The 26652-nt window shown below is 35.1% G+C and overlaps 1 protein-coding gene and 1 pseudogene across 1 annotated transcript in view; both read left to right on the forward strand.

Annotated features, from left to right (window-relative positions):
• The window catches only part of PEX3 (peroxisomal biogenesis factor 3), a 39812-nt gene extending 14876 nt beyond the window's left edge, over positions 1 to 24936 (forward strand). The window contains exons 4-12 of the mRNA NM_003630.3: positions 2442 to 2485; positions 5281 to 5405; positions 5703 to 5769; positions 5877 to 5931; positions 6480 to 6648; positions 9106 to 9176; positions 13396 to 13518; positions 19472 to 19568; positions 23463 to 24936. Of these exons, the coding sequence (NP_003621.1) occupies positions 2442 to 2485; positions 5281 to 5405; positions 5703 to 5769; positions 5877 to 5931; positions 6480 to 6648; positions 9106 to 9176; positions 13396 to 13518; positions 19472 to 19568; positions 23463 to 23546 (835 nt within the window). The 3' untranslated portion in view covers positions 23547 to 24936. The remainder of the gene's footprint in view (positions 1 to 2441; positions 2486 to 5280; positions 5406 to 5702; positions 5770 to 5876; positions 5932 to 6479; positions 6649 to 9105; positions 9177 to 13395; positions 13519 to 19471; positions 19569 to 23462) is intronic.
• Positions 24828 to 26518, forward strand: VDAC1P8 (voltage dependent anion channel 1 pseudogene 8; annotated as a pseudogene).

The following is a 26652-nucleotide window of genomic DNA, read 5'->3' on the forward strand; positions in this document are numbered from 1 at the left end:
CCGAATACATATGACATTCTGCCGTGAGTCTTGAACACTAGATTAGATTAAGGTTGCAGCAGTGTCTTGCATGAGTTACTCAACACATTTTCTGAACCTGTGCCATCTAGGAAAGAGGTAACTGAAACTATAGAGTCTGCTCATTGGCAAAGAAAGACAAGAAGCTAGTAGTATCTTTAAAATTGTAATAGTAACTCAATTTCTTGTTGGAATGCAAATTTATGTCTGAAAGTAATAATAAAGAATATGGACTTGTGTTTTCTATATCTGTGGTTTTTTTTATTTCATGTTTTCTAGTAATTTATTTTTATTGTATTTAACAAAAGTGCTGCTCTGTGACAGATTGGAAAGGAAAAGGAAAAAAAATGGATCCTTCCACTAGTGGTTTGAAAAGCACTAAACTACCTCCACATAGTACATCCATACAATGGTGTACTACACGTTGGTTAGAAGAGAAAAGTGGCTACCATCTGTATACAATAGTCCCATCCACCTTATCCATGGTTTCACTTTCCAAGGTTTCAGTTAGCCATGACAACCATGGTCTAAAAATATTAAATGGAAAATTCCAGAAATAAACAATTCCTAAGCTTTCAGTTGTGTGCCATTGTGAATAACATGAAGAAATCTCCCTTTGTCCAGCGGATCCATGCTGTAGATGCTATCTACCTGTTAGTCACTTAGTAGCCATCTTGGCCATCAGATTGGATGTTGAGGTATTGCAGTGCTTTGTTTTTAAGGAACCTTTATTTTACTTAATAATGGCCCCAAAGTGCCAGAGTAATGATGCTGGCATATTACGGTTGTGCTATTTTATTGTGAGTTATTGTTGTTAATTTTTTACACTGCCTAGTTTATAAATTAAACTTTAACATAGGTATATATGTATAGGATAAAACATAGTATATGTAGGGGTTGGTACTATCTTCAGTTTCAGGCATCTACCGAGGGTCTTCAAACGTATCCCCCAAGGATAAGAAGGGACTACTGTAGTACTATGGAATGATTTCCACAAGATATATTGCTATATTTTTAAAAAGGTAAAGAAAAATGTGTATAATATTTTTCACTTATCTAAGGGGGCAGATATAAATGTATATATACATATTCACTTATATAAAGCAAAACAATGGAAAGTTTAAGCATTTTTTAAGTCGTCATCTATGAAGAAGGGAGAAAATGAAGGGGGTTAGGAACAGACTTTTTTGAATATACTGTATTATATAAATTTGACTTGGGAACCATATAAATATTTAATATTATAAAACTATAGTGTTTAAAAAATAATGTCCAAAAATATATAGTACCATAAATCAAATTAACCTAAATATGATTCTTGTTGGTAGTGTAACTACAAAGACAGAAACTGTGCTAAATTACTTTGAAACAGAAATTTCATGTATATCCTTAGTAGGATATATACTCTTCACACACAAAGAATTGGAAAAACAGAAACCTTAAACTCTTTTACACTGAGACTGTTGTGTATAGAGTGAGGGATGAAACAAATTAGTAATTATGTTGCTTTCACCTATTTTTTATGTGGACAAAAAGAAACACAGATGTAAGATCAATGAGATTAAGTTAAAAACCTTTTGACTAATTTTAGACTAATTTTCTAAATTTTGACTAATTTAGAAATATCAGTATGAATTCATGATGTATATTACCTTTTTGATCATATGCACATATAAATAAATAAATAAATAAACATTTATTAGCTTAGTTCACTGAAAAAATCTTAGAAATAATGACCTACCCAGTAGCAATGAACATTCTGCATCGAAGGTTTTGGTCTCTACCATTTCCTGCTATGAGAAAACAGGACCCAGTGAAATTGGTGATATCAAGTCTGCAGCAAGAATTAAATGAGATGAACCCAGAATAAGTTTTCATGTCAGAAACTGTAGATACTATAAAAGACTAATAAAAGATTATACAAATCAAAAGGATTCAGGAGGCAATGTGAATAGTCTTCCAGAAGTGAAAGATGGGCAGTTTGAACATCGATAGAGATAATAACTACAGTGGATTGATACACATGAAATATATGTGTAAATTCATGTGTTTATGATCGTAAAACAAAAAAAACTTCATATTTACCTTTGAAGGATTATAGGACCTACTTCATTATTTCTAAAACAGCAAGTTAGGGAAAAGAAAGAAATATTTCCTCTGCATTTCCTATATGATTTTGTAATCTATCTATACATAACACTCAAGGAGAAAAAGATTGTAAGAATATATACCAGTTAAAGTGGTTGTTATTGATTACTGGAATTAAAATTTTTTTTTACCGTATTTTGTGGGCTTGCTTTTCTGCAGTTATGCTGTGTTGCTTTTAATTTTTTTTAAAAAGTAAAAATAGATCTATAAAATTCAGAGTTTTCTATTAGATTATCTAGATTATTATTTTCATATTTTTAAATTTTGTTCTTTAGGCCTTCAAACAAGCTAGAAATATGGGAGGATCTGAAGATAATAAGTAAGCCTGCATATTCTGTGTGACAGCACATCCTTAAAATATTTATAAAGGGAAATGTTTGCATTCTATTAGGATGACTCTTCTTTACCTGCCTTTTAGAATTGTTGTTAGTATTAAATAATATAGTACAGGTAAAGCAAATAGATCAATGTCTGGTCATAGAAAGCATTCAGTAAATGTTAGTGGTAATGCTATTGTTATTATGATGATGATGGTAGGTAAAATTGTCCTAGACTACATATGCCTTTATTAGGTACTGATATCTCTAATGTGCTTTAAAGGAAGTTTTTATTCCAATCCAGATCATAGATTTACTTTGATATTGTATTGTAAATTTTTGTTAGTGATAAAAAATTGAAACAAAAAGCTAAACTAGGGCCTACGTATCTGCTTGTCTCAGAACTGTTATCCTGTTTTCCCATCCATTCAGCTAATCCTTGTCAGCAGAATGATGCTTAAGCCTTGCCTATTTGTTTTTTGTTGTTGTTGTTGTTGTTGTTTTCATTTTTATTATACTTTAAGTTCTGGGGTACATGTGCACAACCTGCAGGTTTGTTACATATGTATACATGTGCCATGTTGGTGTGCTGCACCCATTAACTCGTCATTTACATTAGGTATATCTCCTAATGCTATCCCCCCCCCCCCCACCCCACGACAGGCCCCAGTGTCGACAGGCCCCAGTGTGTGATGTTCCCCACCCTGTGTTCAAGTGTTCTCATTGTTCAATTCCCACCTATGAGTGAGAACATGTGGTGTTTGGTTTTCTGTCCTTGCAATAGTTTGCTCAGAATGATGGTTTCCAGCTTCATCCATGTCCCTACAAAAGGACATGAACTCGTCCTTTTTTGGGGCTGCATAGTATTCCTTGGTGTATATGTGCCACATTTTCTTAATCCAGTCTATCATTGATGGACATTTGGGTTGAATTCCAAGTCTTTGCTATTGTGAATAGTGCTGCAATAAACATATGTGTGCATGTGTCTTTATAGCAGCATGATTTATAATCCTTTAGGTATATACCCAGTAATGGGATGGCTGGGTCAAATGGTATTTCTAGTTCTAGATCCTTGAGGTATCACCACACTGTCTTCCACAATGGTTGAACTAGTTTACAGTCCCACCAACAGTGTAAAAGTGTTCCTATTTCTCCACATCTTTTCCAGCACCTGTTGTTTCCTGACTTTTTAATGATCGCCATTCTAACTGGTGTGAGATGATATCTCATTGTGGTTTTGATTTGCGTTTCTCTGATGGGCAGTGATGATGAGCATTTTTTCATGTGTCTGTTGGCTGCATAAATGTCTGCTTTTGAGAAGTGTCTGTTCATATCCTTTGCCCACTTTTTGATGGGGTTGTTTGATTTTTTCTTGTAAATTTGTTTAAGTTCTTTGTAGATTCTGGATGATAGCCCTTTGTCAGATGGGTAGATTGTAAAAATTTTCTCCCATTCTGTAGGTTGCCTGTTCACTCTCATGGTAGTTTCTTTTGCTGTGCAGAAGCTCTTTAGTTTAATTAGATGCCATTTGTCCATTTTGGCTTTTGTTGCCATTGCTTTTGGTGTTTTAGTCATGAAGTCCTTGCCCATGCCAATGTCCTGAATGGTATTGCCTAGGTTTTCTTCTGGGGTTTTTATGGTTTTAGGTCTAACATTTAAGTCTTTAATCCATCTTGAATTAATTTTTGTATAAGGTGTGAGAAAGGGATCCAATTTCAGCTAAGCCTTGCCTATTTGAAAACAAACCTTTCTAGTTCCCTGTAGTTCCTTTCAGCTTTTATACTTCCTTTTCTGGGGGGTGAGGGGAGATGGAGTCTTGCTCTGTTGCCAGGGTAGAGTGCAGTGGTGCAATCTTGGCTCACTGCAACCTCCACCTCCTGGGTTCAAGCGATTCTCTTGCCTTAGCCTCCCGAGTAGCTGGCTCTACAGGTGCGTGCTGCCATGCCCAGCTAATTTTTGTATTTTTGGTAGAGACAGGGTTTTACCATGTTGGCCAGGATGGTCTCAATCTCTTGACCTTGTGATCCGCCCGCCTCGGCCTCCCAAAGTGCTGGGATTACAGGCATAAGCCACCGTGCCTAGCCTATGCTTTCTTATAATCCTTATGACCAAGATTTCTACATTCCCTTTCTTCTCTTCACTCCCTCACGCTTTGATGTACTACAGCCCTGCAGCCTGGCTTCCACACCTGTGTCTTCACCTAAGCAGGTCTCTCAAGCGTCAGTAACAACTTCTGTGTTACCAGATCTGCTGGACATTTTCCTTCTGCTAGGACTCTCGGCAGCAGTCAACACCTTCACTCTCTCCTCTGTTTTGAACACCCTGTCCTAAGCTACTGGGAGGCCTGTCTTACCAGGCTTCCCCAGTCTTTCTGTACTTTCCTGTAGTCCTTAAACAGGCTCATCCTCCTCGGGCTGCCATTGAAGGCTAGAGTTCTTCCACACTCAGCCTTCTTCTCTTACTTGAAAATAGCTCCATTGACAACTAAGAGTTCTGAAGCTACAATTCTTTGTGCTTCCCAGACTTTTCCTTGTTTTCCTTTCTAAGCTAATAGTATATACCTCTTTCACCTAATATATTTCATTGGTTATTGTTTCAATTAAGGGATCATACCTAATTTTTATTAAACAATTGTGAGGAGAGACTGAAATATTTTGAATTGATATATTTTTATACTAGAAACAGTTGTAAATATGTTTTTAAAAGTCATCTTACAAAAAAATAACCTTAGGATGGTTCATGATTTTACACATTTGTATTAATCACAGTACCAAATGCTTTTCTTTTCTCTGTGAAGGTTTCACAAGAAGTACTGTGGCTGTATACAGTACCTGTATGCTGGTTGTTCTTTTGCGGGTCCAGTTAAACATAATTGGTGGATATATTTACCTGGATAATGCAGCAGTTGGCAAAAATGGCACTGTAAGTTTAATAGACTTAAATAGACATTGTTCTTTCCCTCAGGAGGTTCAAAGTTTAACTTATTTATCCTGATAACAATTTCTATGAAATAAATATTTTTATATTTCATGTGATTGTGAACTTTTAGTATTATGAATAATTTTTATATGTTGAAACTAGAATTTTTGGTGTGTTAAAAATTACTATTTTTCCCGTCATTTCAGATCTTGAAAAATCTCAGCCAAAGTTTTATTGAAAACATTTCTTATTTACCAGTTTAAAACTTGGATAATTGAACTGTATTTCTGTTTTATACAGACAATTCTTGCTCCCCCAGATGTCCAACAGCAGTATTTATCAAGTATTCAGCACCTACTTGGAGATGGTAAGATTCTTATTTGTGACTTTTATACTAATTTTAATTCATTTATTTTTATTATTGAGGAATTTTTAAACTAAGCAAGGCTTTTAGGTTTGTTTTTTCTTTAATAGGCCTGACAGAATTGATCACTGTCATTAAACAAGCTGTGCAGAAGGTTTTAGGAAGGTAAGGCATTTTTCTTTGACTTTTCTGACTTCTTGATTCTAATGAGTGAAAGAAAATTAGAATTGTTCTAGTGAAACCAGTGACTTGACAAACGGTGATTTGTGAAACTCTTTGTAATAAAATCAGATACCATCCTAGGATATTGCATTGTGGGATCCATTTTCTTTATCTTTTTTTTTATACAGAGGGGAAAGTTTTAATGTTTCATTGTTAATTGATTGATTTCATACAAATCAGAAATATTTGGGTCATGAGATAAAAGACCTACTTTAAAATCTGCCTCTGAGGCTTTTACCTCCCATTTATACTAGTAATATCTATAATTACAGTAGGAATTCTCTTATGGAATCCAGAGAAATACTTTTCTTGGCTCTGTAGTAATGGCCCTTAACTAGTGGCTGATTTCGTAATCCATTCTATTCCAGTCAGCAGTTACAGGTGTAAGCAGAAGAAACAGGATTTTAGATAGTAGCCTGTTAAGAAAAGAGTGTATATAGGATGTGTTGTATAGTTTCTATTTATCCCAATTCCCTTTTCTCTGTTTCTAGTGTTTCTCTTAAACATTCTTTGTCCCTTTTGGACTTGGAGCAAAAACTAAAAGAAATCAGAAATCTCGTTGAGCAGCATAAGTCTTCTTCTTGGATTAATAAAGATGGATCCAAACCTTTATTATGCCATTATATGATGCCAGATGAAGAAACTCCATTAGCAGTGCAGGTGCTTAATTCATAACCATTTAACCAAACCAGTTACTCTATTCTTTTAAAATTTTACTCTCTTGAAATTTTGATTTCTGAGTCTCTTGAAAGGTAAGTGATTGAAAAGCATATATTTCAGTAATTGAAGTAAAACCCATTAATTTAGAAAAACAGCCATTATGAGTGATTTCTAGTAAGAAGCACTTAACAATTTTAGATATTCAGTACATTTTTATTATCAGGTATGTGACAGTAGATACTGTGATGTATTCTGGAGATGTAAAATGTGTAAGACATGTTCATTACACCTGGGGAACTGAAGATACAAATTCAATTGGTGGGCTGCAGCGTATTTTTGTATCAGATCAAGTAGCAGAACATAGAGCTGAAGGTCAGGGCAAGATTATAAAGAGCTTTATATGCCAAGATAACGAGTCTGAACTCCAATTTGTAGACAAAGAAAGGTAGATTTTAACCAGTCCAATAACACAATCACCTTTGCTTTTTAAAAAAGTTAATGATGAAAGTACAAAAATGGACTGAGGAGGTTATAGTCATCCACTTGAGAAACAATGTCTAATCCAAAAATTATCAACTATAGTGTTGCTAAACACTGGTGTGTCCTGGGTAGTTGTTACGTAAGTTATTCATTGATTAAAAATAATAGAAATGCCAGATTGCAGGTTATGGCTCATTTCCTAAATTAGTAATTTTTCGTTTGTCTGCTGGTTTGCACTCATTCTTTGTAATTGGGAGAACAGCTCTTACTTGACAACTGGAAAAGCCTTAGAACAGAGAGGCCCCCTATGCCATACCTCAGCAGAGAGGCCCTGTTAGAACAGAATGCCTTGTTTTCATTGCCTGCAGGATTTCCCATTGCCAGAGACAAAGATGAACCTGTTTGGGTGCTGAGAGATCCTACATTCATGAGTAGGCCAAAAAAAAAGTTGCATCCCATTTAAGGAAACCCTGTAACTTGAAAGATAGAGACTAAACTGATCAAACAGAACAGATGGAACAGAATTAATGAAACAGGAGACAACTTACAAAATAGAATCTCAAGGAGACGCAATAAGAGTATTAAGAAATCTTTTTAGGACTCTAAAGTAATTTACAGTTTTCAAAATTCAAAACAGGACCAAAAAGAAAACAAAAGAACAGATGAAGAGAGAAATGATGGACCAGATCTTACTGAACTGAATTAAAACCTGAAATTTAAGATTGAAAGGACACATAGAGTCTCAGACTAGATTGATGAAAAAAGACACACACATATCCTGATAAAATCTCTTACTGATAAAAGAAAAAAGCATAGGAGGTTGACGGGGAGGATCACTTGGGTCCAGGAGTTCAGGACCAGCCTGGGCAACATAGCGAGATCCTGTCTCTAAAAATTAAAATTAAAAAAATCAGTCAGATGGGCATAGTGGTGCATGGCTATAGTCCCAGCTACTCAGGAGGCTGAGGAGGAAGGATTTTTTAAGCTCAGCAGTTCGAGTCCGTGGTGTGCTATGGTTGCACCATTGCACTCCAGACTGGGCAACACCAATCTGTCTCTTAAAAAAAAAATGCTTTGGGAGGCCAAGGCAAGAGGATGGCTTGAGGCCAGGAATTTGAGACCAGCCTGGGAAGCATAACAAGACCCTACCCCTACAAAAAAAAAAAAAATGAAAAATTAGTATGGTGGCCCATGCCTGTAGTCCTAACTACTACTTAGGAAGCTGAGGCAGGAGGATCACTTGAGCCCACGAGTTCGAGGTTGCCTAAGCTATGATCATGCCACTGCACTCCAGTCTGGATGACAGAGTGAGACCCTTTCTCAAAAAAATAATAATAGTAAAATTAAATTAAAAAAAAAGGCCGGGTGCGGTGGTGCACGCCTGTAATCCCAGCACTTTGGGAGGCCGAGGCAGGCGGATCACGAGGTCAGGAGTTCGAGACCAGTCTGACCAATATGGTGAAACCCTGTCTCTACTAAAAATACAAATAAAAATACAAACTTAGCCGGTCGTGGTGGCGCACGCTTGTAATCCCAGCTACTCAGGAGGTTGAGGCAGGAGAATCACTTGAACCTCGGAGGCAGAGGTTTCAGGGAGCCAAGATCATGCCATTGCACTCCAGCCTGGGCGACAGAGCGAGACTCCGTCTCAAAAAAAAAAAAAAAAACCCAGACCTCTGCAAACTCAAAACCTATTTCTTCTTTGTCTGACTATACTAGAAATCTATCCAAGAAGGGCCAGATAAACAGAGCTCTTACTAAGTATAATTTTACTTTTACTCATGTCTTAAATTCTACTTATTTGCACACATAAACCATTACAGGTTTTTATTTTGGTGGGGGAGGGTCTAACTTTTTTTATTGTTGATAGAACATAGACTTAGATTTCCTAAACTCTTTATTTATGAATGTGATTAGTTTCATCATAACCCTGTGCTAATGTTTGAAAACCTTAAGTGTGACATTTTAATTCTATAGGCCTGTGGACTTTCTCCTCGAGACATTACCACTATTAAACTTCTCAATGAAACTAGAGACATGTTGGAAAGGTATGTATACTTCATGTAGCAGGAAAAATATGTGTGTATGTTGAATGTACTTGAGACTATTTTTTAGTTTTTCTTGAACAACATGGTCGGTATAATATTATATTAAAATTAAATTTTTGACTCTGTTCCCCAGCCTTTAGATAAGATTTCCTACTCAAACTGGAGGGAAGCAGGGATTTCTTAGGGTAACTCAGCTACTAACTCTACTATCTGAATTCATCGAGTTCCAGTCTTTTGTTTTTCCTCAGTAGGATTGTCCACTTTTTTGTTATTCAGATTTCCACCTCATCATTTCATGAAGCTCTGGAGAAGGTCATCAGTGATCTTTTGCCATATCCAATGAACCTGTAATGTTCATCTTACTTGACCTTTCTCTGATATTTGACACTGCCTTTCTTGAAATTCTTTGCTCACATGACTTTCATGACAGTATAATCTATATTTTTCTCCCACCTCTCAAATCATTTCTTAGATTTTTCTATCTCTGTCTTTCCTTTAAACATCAGTGTTTCCAACCTGGTGCAGCAGCTCATGCTTGTAATCCCAGCACTTTGAGTGGCCGAGGCAGGTAGATTGCTTGAGCCTAGGAGTTCAAGACCAGCCTGGGTAACATGGCAAAAACCCCATCTTAAACAAAAGAAAAAAAATTAGCCAGGCATGGTGGTGCACACCTGTGGTCCCAGTTACTTGGGAGGCTGAGGTGGAAGGATCACCTGAGCCCTGGCAGGTTGAGGCTATGGTGAGCCGTGATTGCACCACTGTACTCCAGCCTGGGCAACAGAGTAAGATCCTGTCTCAAACAAACAAAACAAAACAAAAAAGGCCATCAGTGTTTCCCAGGTATTTGTTCTTTCTTCATTGGCAACTGCCTCCCAGGCAATGTTTTATACTCCCATTACTTTACTATGCTAGTAGTTAAAGCCAAATGTATAGCCCTAGTCCTCCACCCTCAGGAGCTTGTCTGGATTGAAATTTCTACACTTCATAGATAGAAATAATTTGTTCATTCACTTAATTCATTTATCTCATTGAATTATTCATCAACTATGTATTGGCTGTCTGTGGTATATTAGGTACTGTTCTAAATGCTAGGTCTTCATCCCTACTGGAATGTGTATGTTAGTGGGAGAGAAAAATAATCAACTAATAAATTTGATGTAATGTCAAGTATGTATAACTTTGTTGATGAAACACAAAGCAGGGTAAGGGGTTAGAGAGTGACCAGGGATGCTGTTTGTAATAGGTTGGTCAGAAAAGGCCTCTTTGAGGAGATGTCATTTGAGCAGAGACCTGAATATACTGTGGAAGTGAACCTTGTAACCCAGAAGAATACAGTTCAAGGCAGAAGAACAGTTGCAGTGATCCTAATGCTTGGCCTGTTCAAGGAATAGCAAGGAGGCCATTGTTGGCTGGAGCACAGTGAATGAGAAAAGTAATAGGGAAGTGAGATTGGAGAGATAGATGGAAACTCCAGAGTATGTTGAACCTTGTAGTCCATGATAGGAAATTTGTTTTTTATTCTTAATGTATGGGAAGCCATTGGAGAATTTTAAGCAGGGCAGTGACATCATCTGTGTTTATAAAAGATCTCATTGCTCTATGGTAAGCTGACTATAAAGAGATAAGAATAGAAGGAGGGAACCAATTTCAAGAGTTGAAGTAGTCTAATCAAGAGACAGTTGCAGTTTGAACTGGGTGGTAGCAGTGGTGGCAATAACAAGTGGCTAAATAATAGATTTATTTTTAAGGTTGAACCAGTAGTACTTGTGGAATTATTTAGTGTGGGTTATGAAAGAGGAGGCAAGGATGACTCCTAGGTATTGGGGCTGAGCATTTGAGGAAATAGGAACTGCCATTTACATTTTGGCAGTGTTAAGCATATCCAAGTGGATATGCCTATTGGCAATTGAATATGCAAGTCTGGAATTCAAGTTAGTTTACAAATATAATGTTGGGAGTCATCACTTTGTATATGGTATTTAAAGACATGGGAATAGGAACAGATAGAGACTAGAAGACAACTAAGTCATAGAGCAGTCCAACATTTAGAGTTTGGGATCGGGGGAAGAGCCAGCAAAGGAGACTGAGTAGGAGCTGCCAGCGAAAGAAAAGAAACACCAAAAGAATGAGGTATTTTGGAAGACAATTGAAGAAATGTTTCAAGGAGACTGTGATTGATTGGGTCTAATGCTCCTGAAAGGCCAAAGGAGATAAAGACAGAGAAATAACATTAGATGGAGTTGTTGATTGATCTTGTTGAGAAGTTTCAGAGGAGCAGTGGAGATAAGCTAATTCAAAAGAATTAGAGTTTAGCAGAGACCAAGCACAGACAACTGTTGCAACATTTTGCTTTGAGAGATTCTGAGAAATAGACAGTATTTAAGGGGAATGTGGGAGCCAGGAGATTTTGACTTTAACACTTTTTTATATACACCTTTCTACTAAACTCCATGAGACGAGTAATTTTTGTCTGTTTAGCTCACCAATGTATCTTCAGCTCTTAGAACAGTGCCTTGCATGTAGTAGATGCTCAATAAGTATTTACTGAATTGATAGAGGGAAAAATTGATGTAGAAAAGCTCATTAATTTTAAGAACAAAGTACTTTGAATAGGAGAAAGGAATGAGATTCAATACACAGTAAAATAGTTTAGGAGTCAGGTAGGGATGGCTGAGGATAGGTCAGATGCATGTAAGTGGGTAGATGGGTGGGACAAGTATGTGGAAGTTCTCTTTGCTTCTATTTTTATGTGTGTGAAATAGGAAGCAAGCTCACCTATTTCTCATTTCTTTCATTGGCCTAAATGAATTCAATTCAATAATAAGAATAAAAACTAACATTTTTGAGTGCTTATGCAGCAAGCACTGTTCTATACTGCTTTATCTATCTTAACTCACTTAAACCTTACAGTAACCCTAGGAGGTAGGTACTATGATGATCTTTTCTTCAGTTTCCATTTCTTCAACTTTCATCCCCTTAATCATTTTTCTTCTTGGAACCTTACCATATTACCTTTAAAAGAATAAAGTTCAGCCCAAATTACCGTGCAACCCAGCAATTCCACTCCTAGGTATCTACCAAAAAGAATGAAAACATCTCTAGACAAAAACTTGTTCAGATTTTTCACAACAGCATTATTCACAATAGCCAAAAAGTGGAAACAGTCCAGATTTCTATTAACTAACAAAAGGATAAAATCTGATGTATTCATATAATGGAGCCCTATGTAGCAAAAAAGGGGAGCAAACCACTGATACATGCTACAGCATAGAAGAACCTTCAAAACATGCTAAGTGAAAGAAGCCAGACACAAAAGACCACATATGTATGACTGTTTCTATGAAATGTCCAGAAAACTATATAGACCAAAAGTAGATTAATGGTTACCTGGGGCTAAGACTGAGATGAGAATTGGCTGGAAATGGGCCTAGTGGGTGATGAAAATGTTCTAAAATTGGATTGTAGCGATAGTTGCACAACTATGCAAATTTACTCAAAATCATTGACTTGTGCATTTAAAATGGGTGAATTTTATGCCCTCTAAGTCCTACTTCAATAAAGCCGTTAAAATGCTTTTAAAATAGAGATGACTAAGGAGAAAAGGTAGGTAGATAGAAAGATACACACATACACATGCACACTGTAGTCAAGAAATTGGAACATAACTAGGTATTTTCTAGCTTTCTTGGCATCTTTATATATTATTCTTTATATTAAAGAGTTTTGTGAGGAACTAAGAGAGTATAATTAAGATCAAAAAACCCCGGTCTCATGTTTGAGCTCCCCAATTTACTAATCACAGGCCTTTCGTCAAGCTTCTTCATCCCTCAAGTATCATTTCCTCATCTGTACACAATAATATTTTCTGTCTCACTGAAATATCATGCTAGAGGATGTAAAGCCAACTAATCTATGACTATAAGGAAATTTAAGAGTTTCCTCAAAATTAGTAGTACTAGTACTGATATTTTTTAAAAAATTCATTGTACAAAGTGCTGACTAGTATAAAAAATCTGAAGTGGATGAATATTCTCATTATGTTGTGCTAAATAAGCTCATTTTTAAATACTTTTTAAAGATTGATTTCTTGATATATTTTACAGTATTAGATTATGACTAGAAATGTTGGTGGCTTTCAAAGGTAACCACGTTATTACTGAATTTGTTTTCTCTTCCATTCAGAGTCTAAAAAGTAACTTATACTTCTTACTTTATATAGCCCAGATTTTAGTACAGTTTTGAATACCTGTTTAAACCGAGGTTTTAGTAGACTTCTAGACAATATGGCTGAGTTCTTTCGACCTACTGAACAGGACCTGCAACATGGTAACTCTATGAATAGGTAAGATGACATATAAAAATGTTATACTAATGAATGCTCTAAAAAAATGGTGCTTTGCTTGTCTTTTTGTTCCAGATAACAACAACAAACCTATTAAATTTGAGTGCCTCATTTTTTAACAAATTAAACTCTGTTAAACCAACAACTTCTTCACTAGCAGAAGCTCCTTCTTGGTTTCAGTATTAAAACTTGGAGTCTTCCAGAAACTTTGCCACTATATTGAAGTACTTTAGTTGTAATTACCTTTCTATAAGTTGAATTCCAATTATTGTTTTTTTTTAACTCTTTAGAATACAAAACTCACAATATGTTTTAATTTTAATGCATTCTCTAATGTTATTCCATTACTGCAGGCCATTTTGGTCTGCATATTTCAATATTTTGTTCCTTATAATACCCGGGCATTGTTGGTATAGATTCTCATTTGATGAATTAGCTCCTTATAGTTCTACAAATGCTTAAATGTATTCATTCCAGTCCTTATTACAGAATTAGGAACATGTATTAGTGCAATTGTTAGTGATTTTAATCATAACTATTACTAAATCATGGACTTATGTATGCCATAAGGTATCTTACGGTTTTTTATATCTTTGTTATCCCAACACAAATATCTTTGGTCTCATATTAGAATTTATACTCTTTAAGGATTTCTATTTTGCAGTTTTTTATGTCAAACTCGGAAAATAATGGGTACTAAATTAATGTTGACTGACTGTAAACTCATTCATTAAAATTTGAGACACATCCTTTGAAGTAGCTTTAAAATTTTTTTTTTAATTGGGGACACAGTAATTGATAGGCAATATGTATGTGCAATATCCAATTTAATTCTTAAATACATAGGGCCAGAAGTTACTTACCAGATTCTCTGAGACCCTTCTTTATTGTAGAGAAAAGATTAATTTGACATTGACATTAAGCATTTGGAATGCTTACAGCCATAAAGTATATTCTCTGAAGTAATTTAAATATCAACATAAAATCTTTAAAAAAATTTTAAGTTATACAAAAATAAATTTCAGCTCAAGACCAATCCTATATACTGTATAAATCAAGGTGCTCCAATTAGTAAAATTTCACCATAATCTGTATATAGCAAGATATTCGTTATTTTGCAAGTAGTGATACATAATTGTAATGGTTATTTTAACATAAATACTTGATTTTGTACACTGAAGAATTGTAAAAATTATACTACAGCCACAACAGCCATGATAGTGTTTCTTTTCTGAACTATAGTAATCATTATCTGTACTTTCATGTACAACCTACATGTGCTACCTTGAATTGGAGTTTTATTCCTCAGTTACATTTTAAGCCTCCTCTCAAAAGTCAAAAACTATCTTGTGCCCTTTCATGTCTCTTTACTCATACAAGGCACTCAGTAGATATTTTCTATATAAGTTTTTCTGTTTCATCTCAATAACCAACTTCATGCTCCATGATTGAACCCTAGAAACATTTCCATCAAGCCTATTGTCATCATTGTTTAATGTGTTGTGAAAGTCTAGCCATCATAGTAAGTCAAGAAAAAACAAATGGCTAAGGCCTGTAATCCCAGCACCTTGGGAGGCTGAGGTGGGTGGATTGCACGAGCCCAGGAGTTCAAGACCAGCCTGGGAAACATAGGGAGAGACCCTATCTCTACAACAAATACAAAAATTAGCTGGGCATGCGGCACATGCCTGTAGTCCCAGCTAATTGGAAGGCTGAGGTGAGAAAATCACCTGAGCCCGGGAAGTCAAGGCTGCAATGAGCTGTGATTGTGCTACTGCACTTCATCCTGGGCGAGGGAGTGAGACCCCCCTGCCCCCCCAAAAAAAGAAGTAAGGTTTTTAACTATTGGCAAAGACACAAAGTATATTATTTACGTGTATTATAATTAATAAGCCAGACCTCTGAAGAGAATCAACTGAAAAATGAGGTAAACTAATAAAGGCTTTAATTTATATATATATATATATATATAAAATATATATGCAACATATATGTATTAATGTATTATATGTATTACATATGCATGTAATATAATGTATAATGGATATTTAAAAGTCAAAAGTGCAAAATGAAATCCAGAAGTATATTACAATAATAATAGCAGCTAATACTTTTTCCATGTGCTAGTTTGATGATAGGTATTTTTCAGAATGTCTCTCATTGAATTCTTAAAATAATCCTAGGAAATACGTACTAGTATTCTTCATTTTCCAGGTGAGGAGACTAAGACACAGAAAAATTAAATAACTTCAGGTCAAGTGGTAAAGCCAGTTGTTCAATAATGTCTATCTGAGATAGAAATTTTTCTCCAAATTTTTAATTATTCTCCAACACTATGATTAATTAAGGTTTAAGAATGTAAGGAGGGTTAAAACTAGAAAAGCTATTTTGGTAATCCATAACATTAATAAGCTAATAAGATAAAAAACATTATCTTCAGTGTTGCTGAAAAGACATTCAATAAAACAACATTTATTATGGATAAAACCTCTTACTAGAAATAAAAAATACATTTTTATATAATAAAATAATATTTGAGTCAGGTATGATAGCTCACTTCTGTAATCCTGATGCTTTTGGAGGCCAAGGCAGGAAGATTGCTTGAGGCAGGAATTCAAGACCAGCCTGGGGAATATAGCAAGACTCCTGTCTCTACAAAAATTTTTAAAACCACCAAGAGGATTGCTTGAGCCCCAGAGTTCAAGGCCACAGTGAGCTATGATCATGCCACTGTACTCCAGTCTGAGTGACAGAATAAGACCCTGTCTCTTAAAAAAATATATAAAAAAAGAGTATTTGAAATCAAAAGCAAATATACTTAATAGTAAAACTGGAATGATTTCCATTAAGTTCAAAAACAGTATAAAGATGGTCACTATTGACAGATTATTCAGCATCATTCTATTATTCTATCTAATGGAGTAAGGCTAGGAGAAGACCAATTTTGAGATTCAATTAAGGAAAGCTGTTGATTTTTTTCTATACTTATATCTTGAAAATAGGTAACTTTTACTGTTGGATAGCGAAAAAAGAAAGAAAATAGACAATTTACTGAGTGTTCTTACCATTTTAATAAACTGTTAGTTGACCGTTGGTTTTCTAAGTTAAACTCATGCTATCTTTAAAAATGATATCAATTTTGAAAAGGGAGAAGAAAAAGCTATTGTTATATGAAGGGGACAGACTTTATACTTAGAAACCCAAGAGAGTCAACTAAAAAGTGTAAAATTAGCCTTCCAAAATTAATCTAAAATATAATCAAAATATTATCAAAATTCTATTGGAGATTGGAGGATGGTTGATTTTTTTCATCTTAAACCTGACAAATGATAATAAAGGTAATATGGAGGAATAATGGAATGAGAATGTTTAAGCAGTTATTGGAAAAGAAGAGCAATGGATATGCTTTTCCTATATAATATATAATATAAGGTATAATTATTGTTACTCATAAAATAATAGGTAAGTCAGTGAAATAGAATGTAAAATCCAGAAGTAGCCCTAAAAATTGTAGGATGTTAGTAATGATTGTGGGCAAAATATATGTTGGTAAGACGAATAACAATTAGTCATTTTACAATGACTAATAAAATTCAGGAGGTTTAAGCATTTAAATATACTAAGTAAAAACAAATATACTGATCGAAAACAGGTGACTATGTGACCTCAAGATGGAGAAGGTATTTCTAAGAATGAAAGTAAAGAACTTTATATAAAAGAAGTCTAGGTTTGACTGTATAATTTTTAAAACTTCAAGATCAAACAAGCTTTTTATAAGCTTTTCATCAATATTAAATGCAAATAATATACAGGAGGAAATGTTTGCTCTCTTTATGTATATATATCATCCATGAGTGTAATGACATTATATACAGAACTTTTGCACATCAGTTAAGGAAGCAAACACCTAAGGAAAGAAAAATTTTCTTTCTTAGAAAATGTGCATCAAAGACACAGATAATTCACAAAAGAGCAGATGGAAATGGCCAGTTTGTTAATCTAAGATTTATTGAACACGTGTTATGAATCAGGCACTGTATTAGGTTTCTGTTCCCATAGATCTTACAATCTAATTGGGGAAATAGTAAATATAATTGTATAAACTATGAGAAGTGTTATAAAGGAGAAGAACACTGAACGTATAATAGAAAAATTTAAACAAAAGTAGACAGTCAAGCAGTTTTCCTGAGGAAATAATTTGAACTACTAAGATTGGAAGCTATTAAATATGACCCTAGACTACAGTGGGACAGTTGACATTCTGGGCAGAAGCTACAGGGCAAAGGTTTTGAAGCCACCTAAGTACATTTTAAGACTTATAAAGAGGCTGGCATGGTAGCTGAATACATAGAACAAGAGTGGTGTCAGACAAAGCTGGAGAATGCAGCATATACAGATATGGCTGTCATCTGAGAACACTGGAAGGCTGCTGGAGAGTTTTGAGCAGGAGAGTGATGTAATGGAATTTACATTGTATGATTTCTTTGACTGGTTTGTGGAAAAGGAATTGGGTAAACAGGGACTGGGGCAGGACAGACAAATGGATGAATGAAGACTTATTAATCAATTCAACAAGTATGTATTGGATGTCCACTGTACACAAGACCTTTTACTATGTGCTGGGACAATACAGTGCATAAGATAGACATGGTGTGTAACCTCATGGAGCTTGCATGATAGTGAGGGGAGACAGAGCAATCAAGTAATCAAAATCATGATAGATTTTGAAAAATGCCACAAAGGTACCATGAAAAAAAAAATGCCTGCTTCCCTCAGGAATACATAAATCTTCCCACTTCCTTTATTCTTTTTTAAGCATTGCCTCAAATCTCAGCATAGCACACTGGTTGTACACCCTAGCTTCAGCACTTGCATGATATTTAAAAGGAAATTTTTAGTGTAGCCCTAGGTTGAAATGTATGAGATGTCATATTTAATGTAATAAGACTAAATCTACAACCCCAACGCAAAAATGAGTCTTGTTGTTTAAGTCATTGCATCACATACATACAGTGATACATACATGTATTCATTTATGCATCCAACAAATGTTTATTGTGCTCTAACAAGTTAAAAAGTTATTGCTGTAGTCCAGGCAAGAGATAATGCTCAGCTTGGAATCTGTTGGGCAACGGGGAGAATTCTTGGCACTTATTTGAATATAGGCAAGGGAAAGAAGTGCCAAGGATTTTCAAAAGATTTTAAGATTATTAAAAGATTTCTTTTGAGAAATCTTTAGAATATCTGATTGGGTATAGGCAAGAGAAAGAAGTGCCAGGGATAATGCCCATATTTGCTGCTTCTAGAACCTGATAGATAATGGTGTGGTTCACTGGAGTAGGGGGGAAATACTCAACATTGTTAGTAATTAAGAGAAATGCAGATTTAACCTGTAAGATACTATTTTCACCTATCAGATGTGAAAGATTAAAGAAAAGGATAATGTTGGATGTTGAAAGAAGGCATAATGGAGCAGATACATTCATACCCTTTGACCCAGTGATTTCATGTTTATACAAAATCTTACTTAGATTAAGAAAATTTAGGCAAAAACTGAAATGCCCAACTCTAGGGAACTCATGATATAAATTGTCACAGCTAGAGGACAGATTACTGTATAGTCATTAAAAAACAATCAGACAAACACTTTAGAACTTTTAATAAGATGGAAAATACTCATAACAATAAAAATGCAAAAACAGTGTGCTTAGGAGGTTAGAGGTTTTTGGTAGACACAAAAAAACAAAGATATGTGTAAAAAAACGCCAAAAGAAATTGGTCATGATGTCAATTAGAGTTGTTATTTCTAAGCGATAGAATTGTGGGGTTTTTTTTCCTTTTTAATAGATTTCCAAAAATATTCTACAATGGCTATGTATTACTTTTATAATTAAGATGTTAAAGTCCTGTGGGGTCATTTCAGAAAATAATCATTACTGTAATGATTTTTCAGTCTTTCCAGTGTCAGCCTGCCTTTAGCTAAGATAATTCCAATAGTAAACGGACAGATCCATTCAGTTTGCAGTGAAACACCTAGTCATTTTGTTCAGGTAAGAAGAAAGCTTGGGAGTGTTATTAAAAGCAAATTATATTTGTGGTGGTGGTCATGTTTGTCTAACATAAAGTTACATTCTCTGCTGAGAGGTTTTTTCAAAAAATCACAGAACTTGGAACTACATGTAGAGTATGGTAGAGTGTCCCATGAGAGTAATAACGGACCATAGCAAATGTGTAAGTTTGGAGTACCTTTCTCCGTGTTGTAGTCCAACACTGTGGGACTACATTTTAGTCCAGGTGTATTATAGTGGTCAGTTGAATTTATATAGCATGAATGTTTGCATTAAGCTGTGCTAGTAAGAAGATTGATCCTTGGGGCAGATCAAGGATCCTGTTCTACACATTTTGAGGAAAACTAAAAAAATTTGTGGAGAAGTAAAGCATTTTAGTGATTAATAAAATGTAACAGTTAATAGTGCATCAATAATATGCTCACTAAAAGCCACATAAACAGTGGGTCATTTAAATGTTTTATCAGACTACCTATAACTCCATCTTATTTCTTCATTTCCATTTGGAATGCATGGAGTAATTCAGTAATTCATTGAGTAATTCAGTAATTCATTGAGTAAGACAAATATTATAAACAAAATAACTTTGAATTTCTGAGTCATGTGCAAACTTGGAAACTGTGTTATAAGTTAAAAAATTGTTTGCAATGCCAGTTGCAAACTGCTTCAATAATGTACAATGAGAAGAGACCCTATGGCCTAAGCATAAAGCTGACATCTTCTTAGTGTAACTTGTCTCAGACAATTTAGTGTATCCTCTCTGTAGACTTTTTACTCTTGGGAACGTGGAGAGCACTGAGACTAAGAGTTCGTTTCCTCCTTTCACTGTGGTGTCATCAGCCTGTCCTTCACATGCACATTTTCCCACACTGGACTCTTCAGTCTTCTGTCCTCTTTCTCACCCCTAAGAGCTTGGCACTCATATTGCAGAAGAAATAGTGAATAAGACTGATCTCATTTTACTGAATGTTAAGCTTCACATCTATATCAATGTGAGAAAAAGGTCATAACTTGGGGCATTTAAACCTTACCTTTACCTTTGTCCTCTTCTGTAGAAGTCCCTGGCTTGGCCAGTAGGCTGTTCATTTTGACAGATGAGTGGAAATTACAACCAAGCATAAAGCATCATCAGCCTTAATGCTTAAATAATTTTATGCACTACACTTTAATTAAAATCGATATAATTGATAATAAAAACAAATGTTTCAATATGGTAAAAACGCCATTGATACTAATGTTTAGTAAAGTTTTTTACTGTAACTGGATGTATATTAAATGTATATACTAGACCATTGATTGACAAGGCTATTACAATTATAGTTTAATTTTTTAAACTATAATTTCTATGAGTTAAAATACCAAGTGGTCTTCTTAATAAATTGTCATATGCTTTACTATTTCCACTTATCTTTTTATAAAGCCTTTGCCTTGATTAGAATGCTAATTTACATAAAATTAGTCCTTTCGAATTACTGCTACTACTTCAACTACAATGGTGTGTAGGAGAGCCTATGGTGGGAATGCTGTAGAACAGGGGTTTGGCAAACTGTACAGGGCCAGATAGTACATACTTTAGGCTTAATGCAACATACATTCTCTACAGAAACTATTCAACTCTGCTCTGGCAGTGTGAAAGCAGTCAGAAACGTACATGAACAAAAGAGTATGGCTGTTTCAACAAAACTTTATATACAAAAACAGGCGGCAGTGGATTTGGCCTGCAGGCCATACTTTGCTGACCCCTTTGGTAGAAGATATTAGGATGGTAGTTGGTAAAGGTAGGAAATGGGAGAATCAGAAAACAATCGAGAAAGGTGGTTTTTCAAATTATTTTCAAATAGCTTTCAAATAACATAAGCAGGAGATAAATTATTTCAGATTGCTTTCAGATAACATAAGGAAAGAGCTTTTATAGTGTGAACCAACCCTATGATACATAATTTTTATCTCAGACTACTGAAACATCCTAGAAGCTGCATCAGGATACAGTATTTGAACAGATTAAAGTCTTTATTATAAAGCTGATATAAGTTAGCTATGACCTATGAGCCAAATCCAGCCAAGCACCAGCTTTTGTAAGTTTTATTGGGTGACAGCATGCCCATTGGTTTATGTGTTGTTTATGGCTGCTTTTGCACTACAATGGTAGTATTTCTCAGATTTGTCCATACACCTCACATACATATGTACACACATATACCACAGTCCTCCAGTGTTTAAATCATTTTTAGTGTATAAATTAAAAACTCAATAAGATCCTTAAGATTAGAGCTTTTTCGTAACTCAAAACCAAAGCACTTTTATTGTCAAGTAGAATCTAAATTACAAAAAAAGATTGTTCTATAATATGGCTGACGTCTACTATTAATAATTTGTTGTGCCAAAGTGAATGTGGACCTGTCTGCTACTGTTCATGCTGTTGAGCATTCAGCCTGCATTTTCTGAAGCTGACTTGCTAGTATTTTTTTTTTTATCTACTGTAACTATTCTGAAAGCTTCATTTGTATCATGTGTTTTACATGATTTGGTCTTCATTTGAAAGATTTTCTGCCTCTGTTCTTCTCTCATTAGCACAAGACAGTTAAAGTAATGTTACTTAAAGCCAATAAGAACATAAATATAAACAAATGCCCTAAAATCAGGAACAATAGTAGGTTATATATTTTATCTTCTCAATAATCAAGAGCGTGTTTGAGTTTTCTTTACATTTTCATAGAAATCAAAACACAAAATTTCCCCTCAAATTCTTGGGCCCCTGAAAGTATGTCTGTAAATTCTGGTTTGAGAAACATTGATCTAAACCTATGTTTCATTGAACACCTAGACTGAATACTTGAAACTAAATAACATCAAATTCTCTGATGAGATAATTTAACCATGAATTGATTGAGATTAGGACATGTCTAAACCTCACTTGGATTTTCCGATACTTAAGAAACAGAGATCACTAGGGACAGGTTTACTTCCCATTTCTTTGACACTCTCAGAGGCTGTCAACCTTTTCTATCATGGACCCTTTCACAGACTGGTGAAGCCTATGGACCCCTTCTCAGAACAATATTTATAAGTGCATACAATAAAATACATAATATTATAAAGGAAACCAATCATATATAGTTTTCAAAATTTCTTTTAAAATTAAGTGTATGATATAGCGGTATTGCTTCTTTATTCATGCATTAAATACCAAGATATAATGAGAGTTCTGATAACTTCCACAACTGTCATATGACATGAAAATGCCTATGATTTCTATTGAAGACAAAGTCATACAACCTGCTAATATTATCACAGTTTGTTGCCTACATTCATAATTGAAAGAGATACCAGATTTTGGTTAGAAGTTAAAGAAAATGAAGGTGTAATTTTTTTCTTATCTTCACATTCGCAAATCCCTTGGGGTGTTAATAACCCTTACACTATAGTGTATATGTGTGGTTCATGTATGTGTGTATATGTAAAATATGCACTTACTACACATATTCATACCGTATGTTAGATCTTCTAGAAAGTAATACACCCTTAACCGTGTTATGTCAGCTTCCAGCAAAAGTACCTTTACTCCTACAATTATTTATTCAACAGATACCTATCTAGCACTTGACATACACCAAAATTCATTTGAAGACTATTTGGGGTTTTTGTCCCTCAAAGTCACACTTGAACGCTTATGATACCATCATCCCTCATATAAGAACCTAAATAATAACTATCTCCTAGAATTTATTACAAGAAAAACTACTCATTTTCTTAAATGGTTTGCCTCTTGGCCTTTACCACAAAACTTAGAGCTGAATTCATCGCTTGATTGCAGAAATTAATTCAAATTAGCTATATGTTTTGCAAACTATAATGTTATATTATCATCTTTGCTAGGATCTGTTGACAATGGAGCAAGTGAAAGACTTTGCTGCTAATGTGTATGAAGCTTTTAGTACCCCTCAGCAACTGGAGAAATGATTTTTCCTTCAAGAAAAACTACAGTGGGATTCATTTACTTTTTAAAATACACTGGGTAAATCACCTATACTTAGAGTAACAGTTTGTTATCAAAATGCCTGATAAAATATATTCTTAATAAAAGTCTTCATTTCATAATGAAATCAATTTATTTGGCATCTTAATATATTTTTTTAGATTCATCAACAGACCAGTTTTTGTGGGCATATATATATACACGTGCAAATATCAGAATTGTTAATAATTTGTTACACATGGACATTTGTTCCAAACTGACTAAAAATCAATATAGATATTTTATATACATATATATATATAAAAATACAAAATTCAGTGTACTTTACCATATTAATACTGAGGAAAAATCTGTTGGAGACATAGGTCTAGGATGTGTGAAGTTTGGAAAAATATGCTATTTAATTATAATGTTCCCTAGACTGCTGTAAACAGAAGTGAATCAGACTTTTCTCCAGCTACCTTTCAAAATAATAAATTATTTGTCTCAAATATACCTTGATGGAGGACTTTTTTATTCTTATGGAAATAGTGAATTCCAACAACTATGATGAACTATGTTCTTTGCTATTTCTTCACTATATTTTTTAAGGTTTTATTAAAAAGCCTTAGAAAGTTACATATTGGTTTAGAGGCTAAAATTGTGTTGATGCTGTTTACTCACCTAATTACATAGTTTTAATCATTTGTACATAATTTTAAAAACTTACTTTGTATTGATTTTGAATACAGTGAAAATCTTATTGCAATAAACTATTTTAGTAAAATATTATTTTGTTGAGTTAATATTTTTCAGCTATTAATTTACTTATCCCATAGCATTTTTGTTATTATTTCGGAAGAGAGAGCATGCTAGTTTAAGTTTCATTTTAATTGGTCGTGTACTTGGTGCTTTTTTGTTGTTGTTAACTTGTTCATTTAGTAAAAAGCAAATAGCTTTACTTTCTGAAAAAGAAATAATTCATTATCTCTAGTAATACATCTGTAATTCTTCATTTAGAAGGGTAATTAGGGCAAAAGTAAATAAATCATTATATATCATTAGTATGTTGACATATATTTTCAGTAACATTGTTTTATGTTCCTCCAGCGTAACATGTAGCTGAACAGTAGAAGGTAGAAAATAAATTATGACATCTCTTCTAAGGCCTGGCTAGGCCTGAAGCTCACTGCCAGGGAGTTTGTGTCTAGAATGTTTTTAAAAATAGGTAGTGGAGCCATAGCCCTCACCATAGACACCTCTGAGCCCACTGGCATTGTCTCTGAGCAGAAGATGGCTGTGCCACTCACATATGCTAATCTTGGCAAATCTGCCAAGCATGTCTTCACCAAGGGATATGGATTTGGCTTAATAAAACCTGATTTGAAAACAAAATCTGAGAATGGATTGGAATTTACAAGCTCAGGCTCAGCCAACACTGAGACCACCAAAGTGACAGGCAGTCTGGAAACCAAGTACAGATAGACCGAATATGGCCTGACATTTGCAAAGAAATGGAACACTGACAACACACTAGGCACCGAGATTACTATGGAAGACCAGTTAGCATGTGGACTGAAGCTGACCCTCCATTCATCCTTCTCGCCTAACACTGGGGGAAAAGTGCTAAAATCAAGACAGGATACAAGTGGGAGCACATTAACCTGGGCTGCGACGTGGATTTGGACATTGCTGAGCCTTCAGTCCGAGGCACTCTTAAGTGCTGGGTTATGAGGATTGGCTGGCCAGCTACCAGGTCAATTTTGAGACCACAAAGTCCTGAGTGACCCAGAGCAACTTTGCGGTTGGCCACAAGACTGATGAATTCCAGCTTCACACTAATGTGAATGACGGGACAGAGTTTGGCAGCTCCAATTAGCAGAAGGTGAGCAAGAAGTTGGAGACTGCTGTCAGTCTCGCTGGGACAGCAAGAAACAGGAACACTCGCTTCAGAATAGCAGCCAAGTATCAGATCGATCCTAAAGCCCACTTCTCCACTAAAGTGAACAACTCCAGCCTGATAGGTTTAGGATACACTTAAACCCTAAAGCCAGGTTTCATACTGACACTGTCAGCTCTCCTGGGTGGCAAGAACATCTATGCTAGTGGCCACAAGCTTGGTCTAGGACTGGAATTTCAAGCATAAATGAATGCTGTAGAATTGTTTAAATTATTTTGCAGCATAGATACCTTCACAATTTAGTGTATCTTTTAATGTTGTATGGCTGGGATGCAAGTATTGCTAAATGTCATATTGGACCTCCAGGTTAAAGATGATTCAGCTTTAAGGTGTTACCCTTTCAGGGGTACAGAAGAAACCCAGTTCCAAAAAGGTCCCTTCAGTGGTAGATTTGGGGAACTTGGTGGCCCCTGTAGAGATGCCAGGTTTCTTTTTTATCTAGAAATGGCTGCAAGTGGAAGCTGATAATATATAGGCACCTTGTAAATTCATATTGAGTAAATGAATGAAATTGTGATTTCCTGAGAATTGAACCTTGGTTTCCTAACCCTAACTGATGAGAGGCTTGTTGCTTGATGGTGTGTACAAATTTACCTGAAAGGGACCTTTTAAAGACAGATCTTCATGACTTGTTCCCATCCCAGGTCTTCATTACCTCTTTTACACAAAAAGATCTACAGGGTGTGGTCACTGTTTCTTTTGTGCTGTTTTGGGGTGGAGAGGGTGGATGTGATGAAGCCAATAATTCAGGACTTAATTCCTTCCTGAGTTGTGGTTTTTTTGTCCTTGCATCAGTGTATAAAATAGCTTCCAGGAGCTCTAGCTATAAGCTTGGAAGAGTCTGTATAATTGTAATCACAGGGTGACAGCACTCAGAATCTAAACTGGGCTTATGTGGTATTCTCACCACTCAATTTATTTTTTAGCAGTTTAATGGGTACATTTTAGAGTCTTCCATTTTGTGTGGAATTAGATCCTCTTCCTCAAATGCTGTAATTAACTTTAAAAAAAAAAAAAAAAAAGGTAATGGTCCAGCCTGGGCAACATGGTGAAATCTTGTCTCTACAAAAAAATTAGCCACGCATGGTGGCATGTGTCCGTAGTCCCAGCTACTTGTAGGGATGAGGTGAGAGAATCACTTGAGCCGAGTA

This window comes from Homo sapiens, chromosome 6 (assembly GCF_000001405.40).
Source record: "Homo sapiens chromosome 6, GRCh38.p14 Primary Assembly".
Lineage (NCBI taxonomy): Eukaryota > Metazoa > Chordata > Mammalia > Primates > Hominidae > Homo > Homo sapiens.